The sequence below is a fragment of the Homo sapiens genome, chromosome X (assembly GCF_000001405.40).
Source record: "Homo sapiens chromosome X, GRCh38.p14 Primary Assembly".
Lineage (NCBI taxonomy): Eukaryota > Metazoa > Chordata > Mammalia > Primates > Hominidae > Homo > Homo sapiens.
The window spans coordinates 22,046,393-22,072,697 of record NC_000023.11 but is presented as its reverse complement, the minus strand read 5'-3'; the positions used below and the strand labels follow the sequence as shown (position 1 = coordinate 22,072,697).

The 26,305-nt window shown below is 40.6% G+C and overlaps 1 protein-coding gene across 5 annotated transcripts in view; it reads right to left on the bottom strand.

Moving 5' to 3' along the window:
- The window catches only part of PHEX (phosphate regulating endopeptidase X-linked), a 218,986-nt gene that overhangs the window by 178,613 nt on the left and 14,068 nt on the right, over positions 1–26,305 (bottom strand). For 4 of the 5 annotated variants that reach the window (NM_000444.6, NM_001282754.2, XM_047442159.1 and 1 more), the window contains exon 3: positions 25,487–25,648. In NM_000444.6, coding sequence (NP_000435.3) covers positions 25,487–25,648 — 162 coding nt within the window. Of the gene's footprint in view, positions 1–25,486; positions 25,649–26,305 lie in introns of those variants that run through there. The other variant, XM_017029579.2, reaches the window with a different exon arrangement.

Genomic DNA, 26,305 nt, shown 5'->3' with positions numbered 1-26,305 from the left:
ATTCAAGTCTATATCACATATTTATAGAGCAATCTACCTTTTTGTTATTGATTTGTAGAAGTGCTTTCTATATTCTACGTACGAGTCCTTTTTGAATATATTATAAAATATCCCATTACATAGACTTCATTTTTAATGGTATCTTGTAATAAACTGAAATTATTTTAGTTCAGCTTCTCCATTTTTCTCCTCCATGGTTACCATATTTAGTGTCCCGTTCAAGAAATCTCTGCCTATCCCAAACTCATGAAGATAGTCTACATTTTATTTTATTTTTCTTTTTTTTTGAGATGGAGTCTTGCTCTACCGCCCAGGCTGGAGTGCAGTGGCTTGATCTCGGCTCACGGCAATCTCCACCTCCCAGGTTCACGCGATTCTCCTACCTCAGCCTCTCAAGTAGCTGGGATTACAGACACATGTCACCATGCCCAGCTATTTTTTGTTTTTTGTTTTTGTGTGTTTGTTTGTTTTGAGATGGAGTCTCGCTCTGTCGCCAGGCTGGAGTGCAGTGGCAGGATCTCAGCTCACTGCAACCTCCGCCTCCCAGGTTCAAGCGATTCTCCTGACTCATCCTCACAAGTAGCTGAGACTACAGGCATGCGCCACCATGCCCAGCTAACTTTTTGTATTATTAGTAGAGGTGGGGTTTCACCATGTTAGCCAGGCTGGTCTCGAACTCCTGACTTCAGGTGATCCACCCGCCTCAGCCTCCCAAAGTGCTGGGATTACAGGCATGAGCCACCGCGCCCAGCCTGTATTTTTAGTAGAGACGGGGTTTCACCATGTTGGTCAGGCTGATCTCGAACTCCTGACCTCAGGTGATCCACCCGCCTCGGCCTCCCAAAGTGCTGGGATTACAGGCATGAGCCACCGCGCCCGGTGACAGTTTACATTTTCTTCTAAAATCTTTATTGTTTCACATTTAGATCTACAGTCCATCTAAAATTTGTTTTTGACCATGGTGTGGACAACCATGCCTTTGTAACCCAAGCCTAGCCTCAAAGGGGATGAAACGTGAGAATTTTAATAATAAAGATATTTTTGGTCATTGGGCCTCAAATAATATCACCAAGAAATACTTTTGGTATAAAACATTGGCATTAACAATGGCTATGCTCCATTAGATTGAATACTCTTTTGGGCAGGGGCTGGGTCACATTCATCTTTGAACACCCAGGACCCAGAGCTTGGCATGGCTGGTGCTTAGTGAATGTTCGCTGAGTTGAATTCCTGACAAGGAAAGTCTGAGAGAGACTTTCATCCAATTGAAAAAGAACTATGAGAAGCTGGACTGACTACTTTTATTATTTCTTTTTACAATCAGCAATGCCCTGATCATACTAACAACACCATCTCTTTTTTTCACATCTCAGTCCCTATATCATACAATGAAATCCAAGACTTCATTCATCTGTTTTCATGAACGCCAGTTTTAAGGGTACCTAAGTTTTATTTTCATCAATTGTCTCAGCTTTATCATCCATTCCCAATGCCCTGCTCTTCTACACTGGGGAGAAAAAAAATACTTAGTTCTGCTCGGAAGCTGAGAGAGGACTATCAATCCTCACTCAATTCAATTCTGCTGCTCAGACAGGACATTTATTGAGTGCTCTAGAATACAAAAAGGAAATTCCAAAGGAAGGATGAGGCCCTTGAGGATTTTACAGTACCATGCTTAGTCAAGAGTTCATAACAGCCATCTGCAGCTCAGGCCAATCATTTAAAGTTTCTACAATATCTAAGACATATCCACCTAAAACATTTTTCAAAAACTCCACACATGCAAAGTTTTAGGCCTATGAGCAAAAACCTACCAAGAACCTTGATTGAGCTGACATTTGAATGAAGTGGCTCAGGAGCACAGGAACACTTAAAAACACCCTCCTTTGGGTTCTTTCTCCTGACCCTGCAATATTTCCATGTGCCTATTCTGAAAGGGGGCCTCTGGCTCTTTGCTAAGAGACCAGTGAATCCTGGAGCCACTTGCTTGATTTGCTTAATGGGTACTTTTAGAGACAGGGTCTTGTGCTGTCACCCAGACTGGAGAACAGAGGCATAATCACAGCTCACTGAATCCTCAACCTCCTGGGCCCAAGCCATCCTCTCACCTCAGCCTCCCAAGTAGCTAGGACTACAGGTGCACACCACCACACCGTGGCTAATTGTTTTATTTTTATTTTTGTAGAGATGGGGTCTCGCTATATTGCCCAGGCTGGTCTTCAATTCCTAGTCTCAAGTGATCCTCCTAACTCAGCCTCCCATAGTGCTGGGATTACAGGCATGAGCCACTACACCTGGCCAGCAACTGCATTCTAAAATCTTCACGTCAGTGTCAGCAAGGTAAATTCTCAATTTCATGCAGATTGTGGTAACATTTCTCTTTTGGAAATCAGAGGGAGTGCCCTCTGATTCTGGTGAAAAAAAGAACATGAAAAATTAAAACTCTGGAAAACCAAATCTATACTTTAAGCTTCCACATCTACATAATGAACAGAATGTTCTCTAGACCTAGATTTTTTTTAAAACTTATTATAGAATGGCCTGCTTTCTCCTTTGGTGGTACTTAAAAACTACCTTTGGATGGTCTATGGTTGAATGCTGCCTCTAATCCTACTATTTTTAGCTCTTGTTGATTTTCTAGGCTACAGATTTCAATTTGGTTTCCAGGCTCCTCAGTTTATTTACTATACTGAAAATTTTCATTTTTCTAACTCACACTGCATGGGTATTAAAGGTATTAAACCCTTATGCACTTAAAGCTGCAGACTCTAAATAAGCTTGCAAAGCTTATTGTTATTCTCATTAAAAAATAAAATTCAAGTTAACTAAGTCATGGTCCGTGGATCCCGTAACTCTCATATATTTTCACACGAATTGTGTGACACTCAGCTTGGCAGTTCCTCAGCCTCACGGCCAGTCAAGCATGGGATTAACTGAATCTGTATGACATACTGAAAAGCCAATAGGAGCTGATCTTTCTCATTCCTCTAGAAAACTCCCACCTAAATATAGGGATAGAAGCTGTCAGAATTATTTTCTCTGTTCATTTTTTATGATCTTATAAATGATAATTGTTGGTTAGCATCAGCTTAAGAAAAAGGTGCAGAGATGATTTTAAGGGGATTAAAATCCTCTAAATCATTCTAAATCATGGGTTACCAAATAACACAAAAATGTCCCTGTTAACACAAAAGACCTCCTTGTCCATAATGAAATTAATTATATAAAATTGCCAGATACTACAAAACTCTAACAGAAGATAACTCTTTTATTATGTTCACTTATAAGTGAATTTATAAGAATTATACTTATTATCAAGGTTATACTTCAAAATAATTTCAATTTTAGCATTATTCTTTGATAGCATAGCATTACAATGAATCTGCCAATCTTATGTTTTAACTCAATATAAATAGCTTTCCTATTTAGATATTTTGTATCTTAGCAGATAATTCCATGTAAGGTCTGTGCCAAACTTGAGGTTTAAAATAAATCTATCCTCAGTTTTTTCGTATAGCATTTTTACTACTAACTCTAATTATTTATATTTTTTCTCCCTCCTATTTGAGACAGTCTCACTCTGTCACCCAGGCTGGAGTGCAGTGGCATGATCTCAGCTCACTGCAACCTCTGCCTCCCGGGTTCAAGCGATTCTTTGCCTCACCCTCATGAATAGCTGGGATTACAGGCACGTGCTACCACGCCCAGCTAATTTTTTTGTATGTTTTTAGTAGAGTCGGGGTTTCACCACATTGGCCAGGCTGGTCTCAAACTCCTGACCTCAAGTGATCTGCCTGCCTCGGCCTCCCAAAGTGCTGGGGTTACAGATGTGAGCCAGCACACCTGGCCTCTGCCTCCTATTTTATCCATCTTAACGTTACAAGGAAAAAGCCGTGTATGTTTATATACTCCCTGCAATGGTCGTTCCTGAACAATCCTAAGACATCCAAGGACCAGTAACGACAGTGTTCATTTTTTAAGCACCTGCTCTGTGCCAGATGTATTGTATTAATACATAACCTCAATTAACCTGCCCAGCAATCCTAAGAAACATATATCATAACTCCATTGTGCAGGCAAGAAAACTATAAGAACTTGTCCAAGGAGACTCAGTTAGTAAAGGTTAGAGCTAGGATTTGGACTCAGGTCTCTGACTCCTGTTAATTCAAACATCAGATACCCAGAAAAATTCTGCAAGTTGCTTTCCTGTGAGAGAATGGGCCCCCAGTGGCTAAATGAGAGGCAGCTATGCCCTCATGGAATTCCCTGACAGATCTCTCCACCATAACTGAAGGAAAGACCTTCCCTGGTTACATCATAACTTCTTTTTGCAGTGGTGCAATGTCTTTGTGATGAGCCATCTACTCCCTTTGCCCTGTCACCCTATTTTTGACCAGGGACACAGACTCCTGGGGCACCTAACCAGAGGTAGGAGGCCTGGTGAGGTTAGAACAGAACAAAGTTGGCTGGTCCTCAAGGCTTGACCTCACATTTTGCTCTAGTCTAAGCCAGTGGTTTCTAAACTTGAGTGAACATTGGAATAATAAAGAGAGCTTGTTAGGCCAGGCGCGGTGGCTCACGCCTGTAATCTCGGCACTGTGGGAGGTAGAGGCAGGCGGATCACCTGAGGTCAGGAGTTCGAGACCAGCCTGGCCAACATGGTAAAACCCCATCTCTACTAAAATTACAAAAAAAAAATTAGCTGGGCATGGTGGTGGATGCCTGTAATCCTAGCTACTCGGGAGGCTGAGTCAGGAGAATCACTTGAACCTGGAAGGTTGAGGTTGCAGTGAGCCAAGACCGTGCCATTGCACTCCAGCCTAGGCAACAAGAGTGAAACTCCGTCTCAAAAATTTAAAAAAAAAAAAAAAATGGGAGCTTGTTAAAACACAAATGGCTGTGTTTTAACTTGAGTGTCTAATTCAGTAGGTCTGGGGTGGGACCCAGGATTTTGCATTACTAACAAACTGCCAGGTAATGTTGATGCTGCAGATCGGGGGAATACACTTTGAGAACAACTACTTTAAACCAACAGCACTCACCGGTCTTTCTTGATGCCTGCAATCCCTGGAAACATCACCAGCCCAGAATCCCACCTCTGCCTTTCCTACCCTACCTCAAATCAAAAAAGGAACTTTTGTCCTGTCTTTACTGATTTCCTCACTCTGCAGCTCCATTTTAACTCAGTGTCAACATTCTTCAAGGAGGACACTAAACACTTTGTTTTGTTTTGGAAACACCCTCCTTGCATAGGCCCATTTAGGTCTAAGTTTCTCAGTTCTGCCAACCTCAGCTTTAAAAAGTTCCCTTCTTAAACATAAAATGCAATAGGGGTTTGATGTGAGGGTTGATTCACAGATTCAAGAGTGGAAAAAAATATTAGCACTATGCCAGAAAGACTCTCAAAGTGAAAGAAAGAATACCATACAGGGTATTTCTTTCTTTTTTTTTTTTTCGAGACAGGGCCTCACTCTGTTGCCTGGGCTGGAGTGCAGTGGCGCGATCTTGGCTCACTGCAACTTCCGCCTCTTGGGCTCAAGCAATTCTCCTGCCTTAGCCTTCTGAGTAGCTGGGACCACAGGCATGTGCCTCAGTGCCTGGTTAATTTTTATTTTTAGTAGAGATGAGGTTTCGCCATACTGCCCAGGCTGGTCTTGAACTCCTGGGCTCAAGCAATCCACCCACCTCAACCTCCCAACGTGTTGGGATTACATGCATGAGCCACCACGCCCAGCCGGGTATCTATTTTCAATTCCAGTTTATACCACATCCTCAAGAGAGGAAGAGAGAGATAAACATCACATCCCTGAAATCCTAAAAAATCTGAGCTTCAGACAATTCCTCCCTCGTCTATGAAAGTGACATCAAAACACTGTAAACATAGGTTTAAAAAGCCACTTCCCAACTAACCCCTGTTTTCACTCCCACCTTCTATGAGGAGGTGAGAGAAGGAGGGGTTCTATTCCTGGCTGTTCAAACCACAATGTGTGGTCGAGGGAGACTGCTCCTCCAGAACTGGGTTTCCGACAGTGAGTGATTAGGGGTAAGGCTTTCTTTCCTTCTCTATCCAGAATCCTCTCCCCCAAAAGGGGGGAAGCAACAGCACCTTTGGCACAAGCAGTGAACCCAAAGGGGCAAAAGTGCTGGTAGAACGAGTACTAACTACCATGCCCACCAGTAGCTGCCATGACTTCCCTGGCAGATTTTGCCCCATGAGTGGGGGTGCTTGACAAAATACCTTCCTAAGTTCAAAGAAATCAAGGGCAACAAAGAAGAAGCAATGATCTTTCATGTTGACCTAAGGAGAAAATAGAGAAAAGGATAAACAATCATGCCTTGGTATTTTCTGTAACAAGGAAGTCAAACTCCACCTTCGTTTGGATACCAGACTAGAAAATAGATCAACATGATGGGGCCTGTAAAGCATGAATTGGTCGCCATTTGTCAGCTACCTCCTCCAAGCCACTCTCCACAGACAGCAGCAAGCTCTGGCAAAACATATCGCTCATTACATCCCTCAACATGACATTTACAAACGCCTTCCCATTGCCCTAGGATAGAGTCTAAAATCTTTACACGGCCTACAAAGCCTGTATGCTCTGGCCCCCGCCTTTCTCCTCAGTTTTATCATTTATGCCTCTTCCCTTCCAACTCAGAGCTCCAATCACACTGGGCTTCTTGGGTTTCCTCAAAGGCACCAGCTGGACAGAGTCTCTGCGCTTGCAACTCTTTCCGCCGGGGTTAAAACTGGAGACATTTGAAATGAGAGACCCATAATCTGTGGCGAACAAATTATATGGCTGGATTGGTTTGGGCAAGTCACATAATCTTCTTGACCTTCACTTCCTCAGATATAGGGCAAAGACAGAAATAAACAATGATGACTGCTGACATCACAGAATTAGAGTGAAGACAGTAGAGAAAACAAATGATTCTCTGAAGAAATAAAATGAGTATCAAGAAATGCTTGGGCCGGCCGGGCGCGGTGGCTCACGTCTGTAATCCCAGCAATTTGGGAGGCCGAGGCAGGCGGATCACGAGGTCAGGAGTTCAAGACCATCCTGGCCAACATAGTGAAACCCCATCTCTACTAAAAATACAAAAATTATCTGGGCGTGGTGGCACATGCCTGTAATCCCAGCTACTTGGGAGGCTGAGGCAGGAGAATCGCTTGAACCAGGGAGTCGGAGCTTGCAGTGAGCCGAGATCATGCCACAGCACTCCAGCCTGGTGAAAGAGCAAGACTCTGTCTCAAAAGAAAAAAAAAATGCTTGAGCCTTAAAGAAGTGAACTTGTGAATTTAGGATAGACCAGTGGGTAGTAGAAGCAGTTCAATTCGGAACTTAATCTAAATGGCCACTATAGGAAGTCTTTCTGCCTAGTGACATAGGTAAACTTATGAGTATATTAGCACATATTTGTGTTTGTGCTGCTCTCTTTCATAAATATCAGTCCCTACACCTATTTTAACTGTTCATGAAAATAAAATTTCCTTCTCATTTTACAAATTAAAAGGTTCATGAATGTTTTAAAAAAAGTACCTCTCACTGCAAATATCAATACCAATGAGGCTTTCCAAACAAACATATCTTCTTTGTGACAAGCTATTATCCAACCAGCATATAATTAATTTTCCTGTTACGGGTAGTGCCTTTTTACATGGAATGTTCTCTTGACGCTTTAAAGCAAATAGTCCATCATTACAAATTCATTAAGTATTCACATAGATGCTATTAATCATGATGAACTAATGTGGTATTAATGGGTAGGTTATTAATCTGCAATTACATGCAGATTTCCTAATAAATTCAAGTTTCCCAAGTTGGATAAAGAAAGCAAAGGAAAAGGAAATGAACAAATCTTTCATGAAACAAATTAAGGGGAAAAAAATCTCTCTCCCTGTACCATAAGATCAGACATACAAAATTCCTGCTTTCTTCCTTTGCATTTACCCAATGCAAGGCAAACAAATTTGCAATATATACATTTTCATCAAAATAATAATACAAATGGAAGAAAAATTAAAACATCCATGTACCCTGGAGAGGTACTGAATTTCTTCAGTGACATACTATGTCCTTAGACACACTAAAGCCTAGCTATTGAATGTGTGGTCCCCAAACCAGCAGCATGGGCATCGCCTGAGAACTTTCTGGAACTACATAAAGAAAACGTGGTACACATACCACGGAATACTATGCAGCCATAAAAAAGAATGAGATCATCCTTTGCAGGAACATAGATGGAGCTGGAGGCCATTATTCTCAACAAACTAATGCAGGAACAGAAAACCAAATACTGCATGCTCTCACTTATAAATGCGAGCTAAATAATGAGAGAACACATGGACAGAAAGAGGGGAACAACAGATACTGGGGCCTACTTGAGGGTGGAGGGTGGGAAGAGGGGAGAGGTTCAGAAAAAAAACAAACATCAGGTACTATGCTTAGTGTCTAGTGACTAAATAATCTGTACACCAAACCCCCAAGTCACAAGTTTACCTACGTAACAAACCTGCATAGGTACCCCTAAACCTATAATAAAAGTTAAAATATTTTTAAACAGTTATGTCTAAGTCAGGCTAAAAGAACTTCAATGAACACAAAATAAAATTCCAAGTGATAAAAAAGCGTCATGTAATAGCTTACTCTTTCTTAGCTCATGTGAAACAATGGTGCATCTTACAGTTGACAATATTTTTGATTTGATGAAATATGGTATTCATTTTGGTAAGGCTGTGGAAGACACTGCAGTGTTTGCATATTCTCTGGCTTAATTTGAAGTCAAATAAACATAACTAACAAAATTGACTATAACTAAATAGCTACCACTTCAGAAGAACTAGTATTTCCATTCTGGAAAGTAATAAATATGTCAGAAATACTGAAGCTATATTTGGATTTAAATGAAAGAAGCCAATATAGAAATTATTCCAAATGAATCCAAAAGCATTTTAAGGACAACTGAACCTCCGGGTGAGATGAGACATTTTAATTCTTCAGTATTGGGTTTCATATCCAGGGTTCAGGGGCAGAATCAAAAATTTGGTCCAGTGGGAAGGTGGACGCGACGCTTCTGGTGAGGGCAGCTTTGTGAACGTCCTGAGACACAGCGGGCTATGCAGCCTTCAGACCTCAGGCGAAACACAATTGCCTCCTTTCTTCACCCAGCACCTCCCACGCATTCCCCACTAGACTTGTCTCATTCTGGCAGCCACCTGCAGCTTTCAAACCCCAACTTCCTCTTCTCCACAGCTCAGAGATTCCAGGCTGACACCAACACCTTTGACCTCAATTAAAAGAGTAGAATTTTATGTCTGAATTTACTTTCACTGGTATGTATCCAGACCAATGTGTAAATCAGCAAGAGAAAGAAAATCTCTTTTCTTATATTATTCTGGAGACTTGGTCAACATGTTGGGAAATGTAAATGGAGAGAAATTAATAAATTAGTTGGGCATTGCTTGGCATTCATTAATGTCAACTAGCAAAGCATACTGCCAGAGCAGTCATTCTGAATGGTTCTCATCTCAGAAAACTCACAGAAACTTCTCTAATGTACAAAGGCTACAGTTTTCTACTCAGTTAGTTTGGGCACTGCCTGGTCGGGAGGGAGGTCGTTAAAAATCCTCACATCTAGCCAGGTGCAGTGGCTCACGCCTGTAATCCCAGCACTTTAGGAGGCCAAGGTAGGCGGATCACTTGAGGTCAGGGGTTCGAGACCAGCCTGTCCAACATGGTGAAACCCCGTCTTTACTAAAAATACAAAAATTAGCCAGGCATGGTGGCACACACCTGTAATCCCAGCTACTCGGGAGGTTGAGGGACGAGAATCGCTTGAACCTGGGAGGCAGAGGTTGCAGTGAGCCGAGATCACACCACTGCACTACAGCCTGGGCAACAGAGCAAGACTCTGTCTCAAAAAACAAGCAAACAAACAAACAAAAATCCTAACACCCAAGCAGCACCCCAGATCAATTCCATGAGAATCTCTGAGAATGGGCCTCAGGCATCTGTGTTTTATAAGCTCCCTAGTAATTCCACTGCACAGCAAGGGTTGAGAACCACCACTCTAGAATTGTACTTTTCAGTAGTCCCACGAGGCTACTGGGTATTGCAATGTGGCTGGTCCAAATGGAGAAGGGTTGCAAGTTTAAGATATGCACCACATTTGAAAGACTTAGTAAGAAAGAAAAAAGAGAAAATGCCTCATGGGTAAGTTTTCTACATTGATTACATGTAGAAATAACAGTATTTTGGATATATTGGGGTAGATAAAATATATCATCCCAACTGCTGACACGTTTACTTTTTAAAGTGTGGCTCCTAGAAAACATAAAATCACATGTGACTTGCATTTGTGACTCACATTATATTTCTATCGGACAATACTACTCTGGAAGGTATCTTTATAGGTCTCTAATTGTGTGAATATGGGTAAATTACTTAACCTGTTGTTATGGTTTGGCTCTGTCTCCACCCAAATCTCATCTCAAATTCTAATCCCCGCATGGGTGGTTCAGTGGCAGAATTCTCAAATTGTAATCCCCATAATCCCCACGTGTTGAGGGAAGAACGTCATGGGAGGTGATTAGATCATGGGGGCATTCTTCCCCCATGCTGTTCTCGTGATAGTGAATGAGTTCTCAAGAGATTTGATGGTTTTATAAGGCAGTTTGCCCTGCTCTTGCTCACTCTCTCTCACCTGCTGCCATGTAAGACATGCCTCCTTCCCCTTCCGCCATGATTTTCAGTTTCCTGAGGCCTCCCTAGCCATGCAGAACTGTGAGTCAATTAAACCTCTTTCCTTTACAAGTTACCCAGTCACAGGTATTTCTTTATAGCAGTGTGAAAACAGACTAATACACCTCTCTAAGCCACAGTTTGCCCAATCGTAAAACAGGAATAATATCACCTTCCTAGTTTTCAGGGCTTTTACCAGGCAGTAAAGGTCAAATGGCCCAAATCTAATCCTGGCTCCATTGCATATCAGCCGTGTGACCTTGGGCTAGTTATACTGCTTGGTGCCTCTGTCTTCTCATCTGTAAAATGCAGATAAATCTTACATCTTCCGTGTTGGGAGCTCAGTTCAGAGTCCAATAAATGATAACTAATGATATTATTAAATAAGGTCACCTCAATAAAGTGCCCAGCCCTGTTAGGTCCTGCCCTATGTGACATATTCTTACAACTTTTTTAATCTATTAAAGGCTCACTTCACAGTAATGAATTATCTCCCCATTAGTAGTAAATCAGAGGAGAAATGGGGATTTTGTCACATTGTAAAGATGCTTGACCCATCCACACCTCAGTCACAGTTGAAAAGTTCTCAGAATTGGGGGTGAGAGCATAGCTAAAACAATCTAATCAGAGAGTCTGGAAATACAAGGATAAAATTTTCAACTCAGTTCCACTATGAATGTTAGCATGCAACCAACTTTTCAATTTTTGTAGGGCTTCCATTCTGCCGTTGACCAATTCAGAGTATGGTAAAGGTAAGGGATTCACGCATCTCTCTAAGGCGCAGGACATCTGAGTCATCTGCTTCTGCTGTGAAATCTGAATGCCCCTGGAATTTCTCACAAAAATCCCATATTCTCAGCTCCATTATTATTCTGGCTTCTGGCAACCAACAGCAGGAACACGTGGACCCTTGGAGAAGCTTCAGGAATTGTTACCACCAAAGCTCACGTGGGTATGCCTCCCAACTGTTACCACCAAAGCCAGCTAGGATTTTTCTTTCCTTTCCAAACAGTCATCCTCTTTCAGGAAGTAGTTTTTCAAAAATATGCAATCCTTCTGAACAACTGCAAAGTAAAATACACTTAAACATACCAACCTTGTAAAACAGGACCTGGGTGTGGGCAGGTGGAAAAGTGTCATTGTGGGTGTATACGTCTTTCTCAGGATGCACATATCCTGTGTTATTAGTCATGCTGAGGAACTTATATTTAGTCAAAGGAACCTAAATTTAGCCCACAATCTTCTAAAGTGAAATGTTTCTTTCCTCCTACAACATTCAAGCTAACTCACAGGAAACTTTTCATAATGTGTGGCAATATTTATGCTACAAAAATGCCCCCTTGTCTGCTTTCCCATTCATTTTTTTCAGCCAATATTCCCATGCATAGCATTTTGCAGGCTATTGCTCCACTTCTCAGAAACCTTAGCATTCCCTGCTGCAAGTCAAAAATCTCACCAATGGATTTCAACATCTCTTATCTCCTGTCATCTCTCACCAAAGGCCCTGTTCATTCCTTCCTTCCAACAAAGCCAAGCTATATATATTGGATCTGACCCTTAGGACTTAGCTCCCAGCACCTCCAGGTTTGCAGTTCCCCTACTCCCTTACTCCCCACCCTTCTAAGTTCAATCAACAGCCCCTGTCTTCAACATTGAATAACAAGCTAGCTCTGTTGTACACCATGTAGTATCTGCTTATGGATAAACACTCTACTTGGTGTATTACTATTTCCAATCATTTGCACTGTTCATAAAAGCTATATCACTTCGAATAAGAATTGACTTTTTTTTTTTTTTTTTTGAGACAGGGCTTTGCTCTCTCACCCAGGCTGGAGTGCAGTGGCACAATCTTAGCTTACTACAGCCTTGAATTCCTGGGCTCAAGCATTCTTCCCTCTCCAACTTCCTGAGTAGCTGGGACTACAGATGTACACTGCCAGGCCCAGAATTGACCTTTAATGCCCTGCTTTCATGATAAGCACATGGCAAGCCTTAGTAATTTCACCTGAAAATATACAGGTTCCAAGGCATAGACAATCATAAAGACTGCATTTAATCAGTTCAAGGGTTGGTACTGGTACAAACTCCAGTTTCATCTAATATCCTCATAAACACATATTAACTGTCAGTAACATGCTCATTACCCCGGGAGTCTAGACAGTGAAGTACTCAAAGATTTGGGCATGAGTGGACCCATGAGGCCACGTAATAGTCAATGCCACTCCAAGCACCTGAATTAAGATGGATCAAGAGGCTGGAGCTAAATAAAACTGCCTTCTTGAATCTTGCTCTAGCAATCCTTACATACACTGGGGTTCTTAATGGTTTTTTCTGCCTACATCTCTTGAGCAGTCTGTTGAAACCTATGGACCATTCTGAGAATAATGTTTATAAGTACATAAAATAAGAAACATAGGCTTACAAAGAAAAACAGGTATTTCAAAACACAGCACAACTTTTTTTACTGTGTGAAATATATATATGTGCTATTTGATTAATTCATTAAATACCAAGCCCTAACTTTGAGTCTGACAACTACTATAATTTTGAAGTAGTGATACGTGTACATAACATTTCAAGATACCTGCAACATCTGCAATAAGGTAGAAAAATAATCATGATTGCTGTTGGTAACAAAGTCACAGGCACTGCTAATAGTACCAGGGTTTGTTGCCTACATTCATAATTAAAGAAAATGCTAAAATTCTGTGAGAGGTTAGTGAAAACAAAGGTGCAATTTTTTCCCATCCAAGTACCTGAATTGTATTGACAGCCCTCTTGTGGGAAGACTGTGGACTCAAGTTAAGGATCCCCTAGGGATAAGAAAGAAGAGAGAACAAAGGGAAATGAGGGCTGTGCACGCTGGCTCACACCTGTAATCCCAACACTTTGGGAAGCCGAGGCAGGTGGAAAACCTGAGGTCAGGTGTTCAAGACCAGCCTGGCCAACATGTTGAAACCCTGTCTCTACTAAAAATATAAAAATTAGCCAGGCGTGGTGGCAGGCGCCTGTAATCCCAGCTACTCGGGAGGCTGAGGCAGGAGAATCATTTGAATCGGGGAGGCAGAGGTTGCAGTGAGCCGAGATCGTGCTGCTGCACTCCAGCCTCGGCGACAGAGTGAGACTCCATGTCCGAAAAAAGAAGGGAAATTGGTAGAATTTTTTTAAGTGGCATCCAGAGAAGCTCTAGAGCGGCGTAAGAGGATAGTTATTCTTATTTTTACCAATTCCCTTTTCCTCTTCTTTCTCTTCCTGTGGGAGTGATTTAAAAATCACATGGCCTCCAATGAATGTGTTATCTGACAATTAGATTATCAAAACCGTCCAGGGTTTAGGGTCATGACCAAGGTCTGGCAATGCAAGTTGGGAATACGTACAAATGTCCTCATCTGCTGTTTTTTATCTCCAGCCTTGCCTCTTTCAGAACCAGCTTCCTTATTTACAGGCATGTGGGGAGTTTGAGAAAAAAAACTAGATCACAATATTTTATTTTAATAGTGATGTCAAGGTCTTCTTCTAAGTTATTTTTATTTGGCTGCAGAACATTTCTTAAGCATCTACTATGTGCCAAGTGCTTTTAAAACATTAATCCTTGTGAAATTAACAGTAGCAACGGATTCCATTTATTGAACCATGTGTAGAAGACTTTCTACGCATCTCATTGGATTTGTCCAACAGTATCACCAGATAAGAAACGGAGGCTCAGAAAGAAGTAGTTTGCCCATGGCCACACAGCTGATAAGTGGCAGAATCCCTTTTTTTTTTTCTTTTCTCAGAACCCAAACTTGAACCACCTGCAAGTTATTTTTCTTGTCTGTAACTTGCATCAGATCCCACCAACAGGGAGTCTTAGAAGGGCCCAGGCCTGTCTCATTGCCCACGTCCCTGTCCTGCCTTCCTGAGGCCCAGAACACAAATGGAAAATGACTGATGATTTTGCTTCCCCTCCTTTCAGGGGCAAGCCCCAGTTGCATCTCAAGAGTCTTCTGGGACTGTGGGCACAGGAGGAGATGGAGTGAAACGGAGAAGAAAAAGCCACTCCTCCCTACCCAGTCAGCTGCCCCCACAACTGCACTCAGCCAACCACAGAGGGCACATTCTTTTCTTCCTTTCTTTAGGAAGTATTTACTGAGCACCTCCTATGGCAGGCACTATGCTTGGTGCTGCGGTCACAGTGACACCCAAAATGGACAAGGGGCTGGTTCTCATGGAGTTTAACATCTACAGGAGCGGGGATGGGTGTAAGTGAGAAGAACAGCAAGCATGTACACAAATGACATCATTTCAGATGGTTATAAGGACCACAAAGGACACAAATACAAAGGGATTGGAGATTGGGTAGGGGACTTTCTTTTTTTTTTCTTTGAGATCGAGTCTCGCTCTGTTGCCCTGGATGAAGTGCAGTTGTGCAGTCTTGGCTCACTGCAACCTTGGCCTCCCCAGCTCAAGTGATCCTCCCACCTCAGCTCCTGAGTAGCTGGGACTACAGATACATGCCACCAGGTCTGGCTAATTTTTGTTGTTGTTTTTTATTCTGTTGGCCAGGCTGGTCTCAAACTCCTGGCTTCAAGTGATCTGCCCACCTTGACCTCTCAAAGTGCTAGGATTACAGCCGTGAGCCACGGCACCCAGCCAGAGGACTATTTTAAATAAAGGTGTTCTCTGAGCTTTCTCTAGCACTGAAATCCATTTGAGTTATTCCCAGATATTTCACCTTGCTAATAGCCTGTTCAGGGCTCTAGAGCAATGCTGTCTGGTAGAAATATTACCCAAACCACATACGTAATTTTTAATTTTCTTGTAGCTAAATTTAAATAAGTAAAAAGAAACAGGTGAGATGTTTAATGGTATATCCTATTTGCCTTAATATAACTCAAAATATTATTTCTACATGCAATTACTGATTATAAATGAAACTATCAATTAATGAGAGTGCTTTCATTTTTTAAAATGAAGTATTTAAAATTTGGTGTATATTTTACACTTACATCACACCTCAATTCCACCTAGCCATATTTTCAGGTACCCAAAAGCCACAGTGGCTAGCGGCTACCATGCTGAGCAGGACAGTTCTAGAGTATTGATTACAATACCTATGGGAACACTCATAAGATGCAGATTGTAATTTCCATGAGGATAGTCTAGGGGACATTATTATTATTATTATTATTATTATTATTATTATTATTATTTTGAGACAGAGTCTCGCTCTGTCACGCAGGCTGGAGTGCAGTGGAGCGATTTCGGCTCACTGCAACCTCCCAGTAGCTGGGATTACAGGCTCCCGCCACCACGCCAGACTAACTTTTGTATTTTTAGTAGAGACAGGGTTTCACCATATTGTCCAGGCTGGTCTTGAGCTCCTGACCTCAGGTGATCCACCCACCTCAGGCTCCCAAAGTGCTAGCATTACAGGCATGAGCCACCCCGCCCAGCCTAGGGGACCTTATTAATCTTTGTACTTCTGTATCCCTTGTGTCTAACACAATGCCTCTTGCTAGATATGAATGAGGAAGTATAAATTCTGGTTATTAGCAACAATCTCATGACCAAACAGACTTAGAAGGAAATACGACATGGTGGATGTCAGAGTAGAGAGAGAAAGAAAAAAAAAATGTGATCCTTAATGACATGGTTCAGTTGCTGGATCAGCCCTTACCTGAAGTCTACATAATTACTAGGCTTTTTGGTTACATGAATCAGCATATTTTATTGTTTAAGCCAGTTTGAGTTGGGCTGTCTGTTACTTACGATTGAAAGCAATTAGTGCCAGGAATAAAAGTAAATGCTTGGTAAATAAGACTATTTTCACAGAGTAGTACAATCAAAATGTTGTGCATTTCAATCTATTTGAAGTGGTGAACTTCCCGCCAGCTGAATATCATACAACTTAGAATGAATGGAATGAACAGAGCTGGTTCTTACCAAGCATACCCAACTTATTTGTAGTAGAAACCGCTAATGACAGAGGAGCTACATTAAAGCAATAGGGGAAGAGATCAGATCTTAAAATGGAAGGCTTAGAGCAGACAAGAGTCAAAAAGTAAGACAAGGACATGCACTGAGGGTGGAAAAGCACACATAAGAAGAAAACCTGTCTGGGAGCGGTGGCTCACACCTGTAATCCCAGCACTTTGGGAGGCAGAGGCAGGTGGATCAACTGAGATCGGAGTTTAAGACCAGCCTGGCCAACACGGCAAAACACCGTCTCTACTAAAAATACAAAAATTAGCTGGGCATGTGGCACATGCCTATAATCCCAGCTACTCAGGAAGCTGAGGCAGGAGAATTGCTTGAACCCGGGAGGCAGAGGTTGCGGTGAGCCGAGATCGTGCCAGTGCACTCTAGCCTGGGTGACAGAGCGAGACTCCGCCTCAAAAAAAAAAAGAAAACCTGACAGGCTGACTGTCAGAACTACCAAAACACAAGCTTTTACACACAGTAGTCACTCTGATGGCCTCTTTAGTTCATTTAGCTATTTAGAAAGAGAACATATCCTAGAGATACATTCACATCTTCCACAGAGCCTTCAGAAAAAAAAATTTCTATATTTGTCCAGTTTTCCAATTTTCAATGATTATGGATACATTATAGTTTACATATTTATGTGGTACATGTGATTATCTGATACAAGAATACAATGTGTAATGATCAAATCTGGGTAATTGGGATATCCATTGCTTCAAACATTTATCATTATTTTGTGTGTTGGGAATATTTCATATCTAGCACTAGGTCTGTTTTTTTTTTTTTTTTTTTTTTTTTTTTTTTTTTTTTTTTTGAGCTGGAGTCTCTCTCTGTTGCCCGGACTGGAGTGCAGTGGTGCTATCTTGGCTCACTGCAACCTCTGCCTCCCAGGTTCATGCAATTCTCCTGCCTCAGCCTCTGAGGTAGCTGGGATTACAGGCGCCCGCCACCATGCACAGCTAATTTTTTCTGTTTTTAGTAGAGATGGGGTTTCACCATGTTGGCCAGGCTGGTCTTGAACTCCTGATCTCAAGTGACCCAACCGCCTCGGCTTCCCAAAGTGCTGGGACTACAGGTGTGAGTCACCACGCCCAGCCCTAATCTGACAACTTCTTACCTTCTCCCCACACTCCATGCAGCACGCACACCTACCAATACTCAAACGGTATATCAGAGCAGGAAAACTATGAATAACAACAAACTTTTCAAGTAAAATTATTTAATCTCACATTCCAAAAGTCTTCAATACAGGCCCAAATCTTCATGCAGCACCCCTTTGCACATATAGGACTGTGGTGATATATTTGTAACTTGGCAATTTGTTGCTTTCTATGTGGCCACGTGAAAAAGAGCCAGCATGATCTGAGAAAAATGGGAATCTTCTCTGAAGGGGTGCACCCAGTTTACATAGGAGACTCACACAAAATTACAGAAGCTGAGTTTTCACTAGTAATAAAAAGCCCACCACAATGGATGCTTGGTCCTTAGCACTTCCCCACTGCATCCCCACATTTGCTAGTCTGATATTACTTGTTTCAAAGAACTTCATGAAGTGGCCGGGTGCGGTGGCTCACACCTGTAATCCCAGCACTTTGGGAGGCTGAGGTGGGCGGATCACCTGAGGTCAAGAGTTCAAGACCAGCCTGGCCGACATGAGGAAACTCTGTCTCTACTAAAAATACAAAAATTAGCTGGGCATGGTGGCAGGCGCCTGTAATCCCAGCTACTAGGGAGGCCAAGGCAGGAGAATCACCTGAACCTGGGAAGTGGAGGTTGCAGTGAGGTGAGATGGTGCCACTGTACTCCAGCCTGGGCAACAAGAGTGAAACTCCATCTCAAAAAATAATAATAAAATAATTTTAAAAAATTAAGAACTTTATGAAGTCAAAGCTCTACTATACATACAACATGAGGAAAATGACAATTCACTGTTTTCAATAATCTGAACTTCCTAATCACTAAATGACTTTATAGGAACTGAAGTTTTCAGATTTCCATTGTCTGCAAAAGATGATTTGGCTAGGATCATTTACAGAAAAAAAGATTATTTGGGGAGGGGGTGGTGTTTAATTACGAGAACTATTTGAATCTCAGCCAGAAGGTATTTACAAATAAATGGTCTATGAATCACAATCATCTCTTTCTGTTCATTAATGCAGAGTCCCTACTTCATCTTATTGTTCTGCTGAAGCTGGGCTTGAAAATAATATATTGCATTTCTTCACAAAATATTGGCAAAGATAGCTATTCCGTAATAGAGATGATCTGGCCGTACCTTGAGTCATCTGTCTTCTGTGTGACATAAGTGTTCTATCTCATTCATTGCCTCATGTTTCATAAGTGCTCATTTGCTAAATTTCCATCTGCTCATTCATAAGCAATGCATGCTGTGTCTTCTTCATGGTCACATGAAGACAAATTTGGGGGGTTTATAGAATGTGGATCTTAAGACAAACATATGATTATATTCGGCTTTTTAAAAAATCTCACTTCTTGGAGAGAATAGGAAGTAATTTTATTTCCCAAGTCGGAATCTGAGTCTTATATGCCATTTAAAGAAAAAAATTCACAAAGCCAGGTTGCTCACTTCAGTAGAGGGCAATTTTTCATCAGCCAGGTCTGTCAAGTCCATTTTATTTCACAAATTGGACAGCCGTATCTGTGTGTTTTCTATCAGCCTTAAGAAAATGGTATTCTTTCGATTGGTAGTATTGGGTTTTATTTTGGGATGTTCTCTCTTTTTATCAAGAGTGAGCAAAAATATCTTGACAGTATTCAATATTTTTGAAAGCACATGATATTTACACAAAGGATAATACCAGAATAAAACTTAAAGCATTTGATAGACATTACTTCATGAATCTTAGAACTATCTTTGAAACAAAGCGAGGAACAAAGGACAAATATTTACGGAAGGCCTGCTATGTGCCAGGAACTGGACTGGGTAATTTATATAAATCATCTCCTTTAATCTTCACAAAATCCCTATGATATGGGTATTCCTTTTTTTCCCCTTTTTTCAAAATATATATATTTTTTATTTCAATAGCTTTTAGGGTACAAGTAGTTTTTGGTTATGTAGGTTAACTGGATAATGGTGAGGTCTGAGATTTTAGTGTACCTGTCACCAAGTAGTGTATTTTGTACACAACCTGTAGTTCTTTTATTCCTCACCCTTCTCCCACCCTCCCCCCTTTGAGTCCAAGGTCTATTACACCACTCTGTATGCCTTTGCATACTCTGATATGTATATTCTTATCTCCATTTTAAAGATAAGAAAACTGAACTAGGTGAGATCAGTAATTGGCCCAAAGTGATATAGAGGGTAAATGAAAGGGAATCAGGATTCAAATCCAGCTCTTGATGTTTCTAAACTCATGTTCCAAGTGGCTTACAATGAAGAAAACATAAAAAATAACCTAAATAACACAGGCATTGATTAAGTAAATTATAGTATATCCGGCTGAGTACGGTAGCTCACACCTGTAATCCCAGCACTTGGGGAGGCTGAGGCAGGCGGATCACCTGTGACCAGGAATTTGAGACTAGCCTGGCAAACATGGCGAAACCCTGTCTCTATTAAAAATATAAAAATGATCTGGCCATGGTGGCGCATGCGTGTAATCCCAGCTACTTGGGAGGCTGAGGCATGAGAAACACTTGAACCCAAAAGGCAGAGGTTGCAGTGAGCTGAAATCGTGCTACTGCACTTCCAGCCTGGGCAACAGGGCAAGGCTCTGTCATAAATAAATAAGTAAATAAATTAATTAAATAGAATGTATTATATGATCCCTTAGAAGATATGTATAATTTTATACCTATATTTGCATTTAAAAAGTTGTTATTGCTGGGTGGTGAAGTATGCTTCTTTTGCTGTTTATTTGTGGTTGGTCTACGATGAGCCTGTATTACCTGGATAGAATGATAAATGAATAGATAGTTGGATGACTAGGTAGCTAGACTGACAGACACATAAATAGATAGATATAGAATATATTAAAAGATATAGATAGAATTTAAAGATTCAGTGTTTCAGGAAAAGAAATAAGATTTTTAGCACATTTGACATTTGAAAACCTCTATACACTTTAAGAATATCTAATCATCTGTAACATACTTGCAGAGTTCAGAAAAAAATCTATGTATCTGTATTTATATCGATATTTATCTCTACATTTATAGATATATTATTTTATCATATACTATCTGCCCATGTGTATAAAAGTATATAAGTATATATGTAGAGGATGATACACTATATATATATTTACAGATGGAAAATGAAAGTATATATATAATAGAACAAATGTAGTAAATGGTAATAATCAGGGAATCTGGGTAAAGGGTACATAGAAGTTCCTTGTGCTATTTGTTCAACTTATCAAAGTTTGAATTATCTCAAAATAAAAAGTTTTTAAATCTAATAGATATTTTATGCGGTTGTTTTTTGTTTTTTTTGAGATAGAATTTTACTCTGTCACTCAGACTGGAGTGCACTGGCACCATCTTGGCTCAATGCAACCTCCGCCTCTTGGGTTCAAGCGATTCTCCTGCCTCAGCCTCCTAAGTAGCTGGGATTACAGGCACCTGCCACCACACCCAGCTGATTTTTGTATTTTTAGGAAAAACAGGGTTTCGCCACATTGGCCAGGCTGGTCTTGAACTCCTGACCTCAAGCAATCCACCTGCCTCAGCCTCCCAAAGTGGTGGGATTACAGGCAAGAGCCACTGCGTCCAGCTATTTTATATTTTACCTATTTTTGTTAAAAAATACTAATTTTAAGAGATCCTTTTCCACCATTTGCTCTCCTTCTTGACATATGAAGCAAGAACCCTAATGTCAGTTTGTGAATTTGGCCTTTACAGTGCTTGTCATAGAGTAACTTGGGATTTATTGAATTATGTCTTTCCCAGAGCATAGAAACACATATAGGAAGCCTCCCACTTTGTTTGACAAGGCCAGCACAATCTTAATAACAGAATTCGACAAACCTAGCACACAAAACAATCACAAACCAATATGAATCATAAATATAGAGACAAATGTGTGAAACAAAATGCTAGCTTCTTCAATTCTGGTAATGTCTTAAAAAATACAAACCATTAATAGGCAGGATTTATTTCAAAATTATAAGTTTAGTTCAGCATGGGTAAATCAAGATAAGTTAAAAGAGATACTCCATCTGAGTCTCTTGATAAATGGCAAAGAGGCATTTTTCTTGAGCAGCAGCTTTTTGCAAACTAGGAACAACAGAACACAAAAAAGAATAACTATCTAAAACAAACAAACAAAAAAAGTGTACGTTTTCAGGGGAAATACTGGAGGCATTACCACCCAAGCAAGGCATAAGAAAATTACACCCATTATCATTGCTATTATTTCAACACCGTTCTGTTTTTTTTTTTTTTTTTTTTCCTGAGATGAAGTCTCACTCTGTCGCCCAGACTGGAGTGCAGTGGTGCAATCTCAGCTCACTGCAACCTCCGCCTCCTGGGTTCAAGCAGTTCTCCTGCCTCAGCCTCCTGAGGAGCTGGGATTTCCACCATGCGTGGCTAATTTTTTTTGTATTTTTGGTAGAGACGAGGTTTCACCATGTTGGCCAGGCTGGTCTCAAATTCTGACCTGAAGGTGATCCACCCGCCTTGTTCTTCCAAAGTGCTGGGATTACAGGTGTTAGCCACCACGCTCAGCCTGTTCTGGTATTTCTTAACTTTATTAACTATCTAAGAAATTCAAAGAAGCTACCAAGGAGCTATCAACTAATAAGACAGTTCTAATTGAATCCAATACATACATTCAAAGCTTTACTTTATACTAGGCATCAGGGATTGGCAAACTGTCTATAAAGGTCAAAGAGTAAATATTTTAGGCTTTTTGGGCCATCCAGTTTCCATTGCAACTATTCGACTGTACCATTGGAGTGCAAAAGCAGCCATTAATAATGCATAAGCGAATGGATGTGGCTGTGTTCCAATAAAACTTCCAGGCAGTGGACTGGATTTTGCCTACTGGCAATGGTTTGATGACTTCTACTTTATACCACAGAAAGCAGTTGATGGGAAAAAGTTATCCTTTAAAACATCAAAAAAATATAAAGACCTAGAAACAAACTTTTTTTTTTTTTGAGACAGAGTTTCATTCTTGTTGCCCCGGCTGGAGTGCAATGGCATGATCTTGGCTCACTGCAATCTCTCCCTCCTGGTTCAAGTGATTCACCTGCCTCAGCCTTCTGAGTAGCTGGGATTACAGGTGCCACCATGCCTGGCTAATTTTTTTATTTTTAGTAGAGCCGGGGTTTCGCTATGTTAGGCTGGTCTTGAACTCGTGACCTCAGATAATCCACCTGCCTCGGCCTCCCAAAGTGCTGGAATTACAGGCATGAGCCACCGTACCCAGCTGAAATAAACTTTCTAAAAGGCAATTTGGCTATATGCATCAAAAATGAAATTTAGAGTACTCTTTCAACCCAATAATTCCATTTCTGGAAATTTATCCTAAGGATACATTTAGATAAGGACATAAAGATGTGTACACAAGGATGTTTATTACAGTGTTATTTATAATAAGAAAAGTTGGCCAGGCGCGGTGGCTCATGCCTGTAACCCCAGCACTTTGGGAGGCTGAGGCAGGCCAATCACTTGAGGTCAGGAGTTCGAGACTAGCCTGACCAACATGGTGAAACCCCATCTCTACTAAAAAATACAAAAATTAGCCAGGCGTGGTGGCAAGTGCCTGTAATCCCAGCTACTCGGGAGGCTGAGGCAGGAGAATCGCTCGTTTGAACCCAGGAGGCGGAGGTTGCAGTGAGCCGAGATCGTGCCATTGCACTCCAGCCTGGGTGACAAGAGGAAAGAAAAGAAAAGAGAAAAGGAAAGAAAAGAAAAGTTATCTACTGACATAATCTATGTCTATGAGGAATGCATAGTTTTAAGTTACAGAGTAGTATGTATAATACCAACTAATTTTAAAAATTAAGTTAGAGTAGTATGTATAATATCAGCTAATTTTTACAATATATAGGTGTGCATATGAAGTTATGCATATGGACACACACATGCAACAAAACCTGGAAAGAAATATCCCCAGTTGCTTTATTAGCAGTTATTTCTTGTGACGGATTTATGAGCGACCTTTCTTCTAATTTTTGCTCTTTTTTTATTTCTTCAATGGAGCTGAGAAATAAAATTTTTGATTTTTAAAAGGAAGCTAGCAAATACAAAAACCCTGTGCTTAACAATTTACTTGCATTTCTATTGATTTTGAAGGAGCCTGTAGACAGTACCCTCCTCAAACAAAGCATATTGACACTGATTTTAACTTTTATGTTAAAATTCCAGACACCCCTGGAAAGTTATTTAAGTTATCGTTAACCACTTCATGTCCTGAATATAGAAATCTTTGGGTTATAACAAATGCAAAAGGAGCATATGCCTGGAAATCTTGTAGTTTTCTTATCTTTCAGTAATGTTTCTGTATGCATGACTGTGCGCGCGTGTGTGTGTGTGTGCACATGTGTGTGTACACATCTGTCTATTAAGAAAAGCCAGAGAAGGGAAATAGGAAATGGACAAGAATGGTAAATCAAAGACCAACATGAATTAATGTTCTACAGGGAAAAAAGTATTAGTAAACTCACTCCTCAAGGTCTTATTTATGATTTTATAGTATGAGAATTTTCCTTTTGGGTTAGGAGAAAACCCTGACATCCTTGTAAATTCCCATTTATAATTTTCCAAGACTAAATTTGGGTCTCCTAATAGAAAATATAAGTCCATGTGATTTATATCTAGTTGTGAAATTTAAGTACATTTTTCCTTACAATTGACAATAGGTATCTAATTATTTATTTTGCCAAGAGTTTTACTTATTGTAAAATGATACATATTTAATTTTCATGTATTTAAAATCTTGGGAAAATGTAAATGGGAAGGGAAAATGATTTTTATAATTTCTCAGGAGTTCTTTGTAGGTGTTACTGAATGCAAGTTACATGGTGTAACTCACAGTTGTCAAAAAGAGCCAAAAAAAAAAACCATACTATTTTTGCCTTCTCAAAATAATTACCTTATCTGGCTTTGAAATCTTCCTACTTCCCTCCTGAGGTGGCCTTCTCCAATAGCTTAGCATAAAAATTAGATCCAATGCTAACAGAATATCCTCCAATAACAGACATTTCCAACTTTGGCGGGGGGCAGGGGAATGTATTTGAGAACATATGTATGTTTCTATGCATCCACGTGTGAGTATGTGTGTGTGAGCTTGTCATTGCTAGAGTGGCCATGGGAGAAAAGTGAATCTCCCTAGAGCCAACTTAGAAGTTAACAAGAACAATATGACAACCACAAGGTCATCCAGAGTTCTCAAAAGTGATGTCAAAAGATGATGAGGTGTTAAGTACATTTTGTAAGCCATGAAAATCCAGGACACAATGAGCAAGAAATGAAGTTTACTCTGAATACAACAAATGAGTATATTGATATAATTTTCATTAACTATTCCTTTGCTTCCAATCTCAATCAAATGCTCTTTATCCTTTGGCAGTAGAATTTACTATTACCAAACATGAACATAACAACCTACATTAGTCTTATGTTGAGATCTGGGAGTCCAGAATTCTGCAAACTTTCCTTTCAATCTTTCATTTTAAAAATTCTTGGAAATGAATTTAGCATGGTAGTTAAAAAGTGAGAAGTCATGCTTCAAATCCCAAACTATGTTTTTCCTGTCAAATATTGCTCTCTATAAAGTGTATCACCAAACCCCAGTAGAAACTTACCCTTCAACTTGAGGTCAACATTATGTCTCAGCCAAGGATAAACCCCATAGCTTGGCATATCTTCGGGAATTGGATTATTGCTTATCCAGCCATCACAAGCGAACCGGAAGAAATTATCACAAGGATCCACAGACAGATTTACTTTACTTAAGATGGCAGCAGCTATTTAGAAAGAAAATCATAGGATTAATGACAAGCACTGAATGTTGTATACTGTTCTTTTCCAAATTAAACAACAATTCCATATCAACCAGTTTCCAAGCCTTGGCATTTATATTTCCCCTTAAATAAACTCTCTGAATCTACCTCACTATATGAAATGACTACATTCAAAGTGAATGGATAGGCCGGGTGCAAGGGCTCATGCCTGTAATCCCAGCACTTTAGGAGGCCGAGGCAGGTGGACCACCTCAGGTCAGGAGTTTGAGACCAGTCTGGCCAACATGGTGAAAACCCATCTCTACTAAAAATACAAAAATTAGCCAGATATGGTGATGCATGCCTGTAATCCCAGCTACTCAGAGGCTGAGGCAGGAGAATTACTTAAACCTAGGAGGCAGAGGTTGCAGTGAGCTGAGATCGCACCACTGCAGTCCAGCCTGGGGTGACAGAGTGAACCTGTCTCTCAAAAAAAAAAAAAAAAAAAAAGGGAATGGATAAAAGTTTGGTGGTATTATCATCACTGGTTTTTGCAGGGCCATCCCTAACATCTGTGGGGTATGGGACAAGAATACAAATAGAGCGTGTGGTCAATTGTTTGCAAAGATAACTGTGACTATTTCTTCTATCCTGCTTGTCCTTCTGCAAAGTGACCTTGCT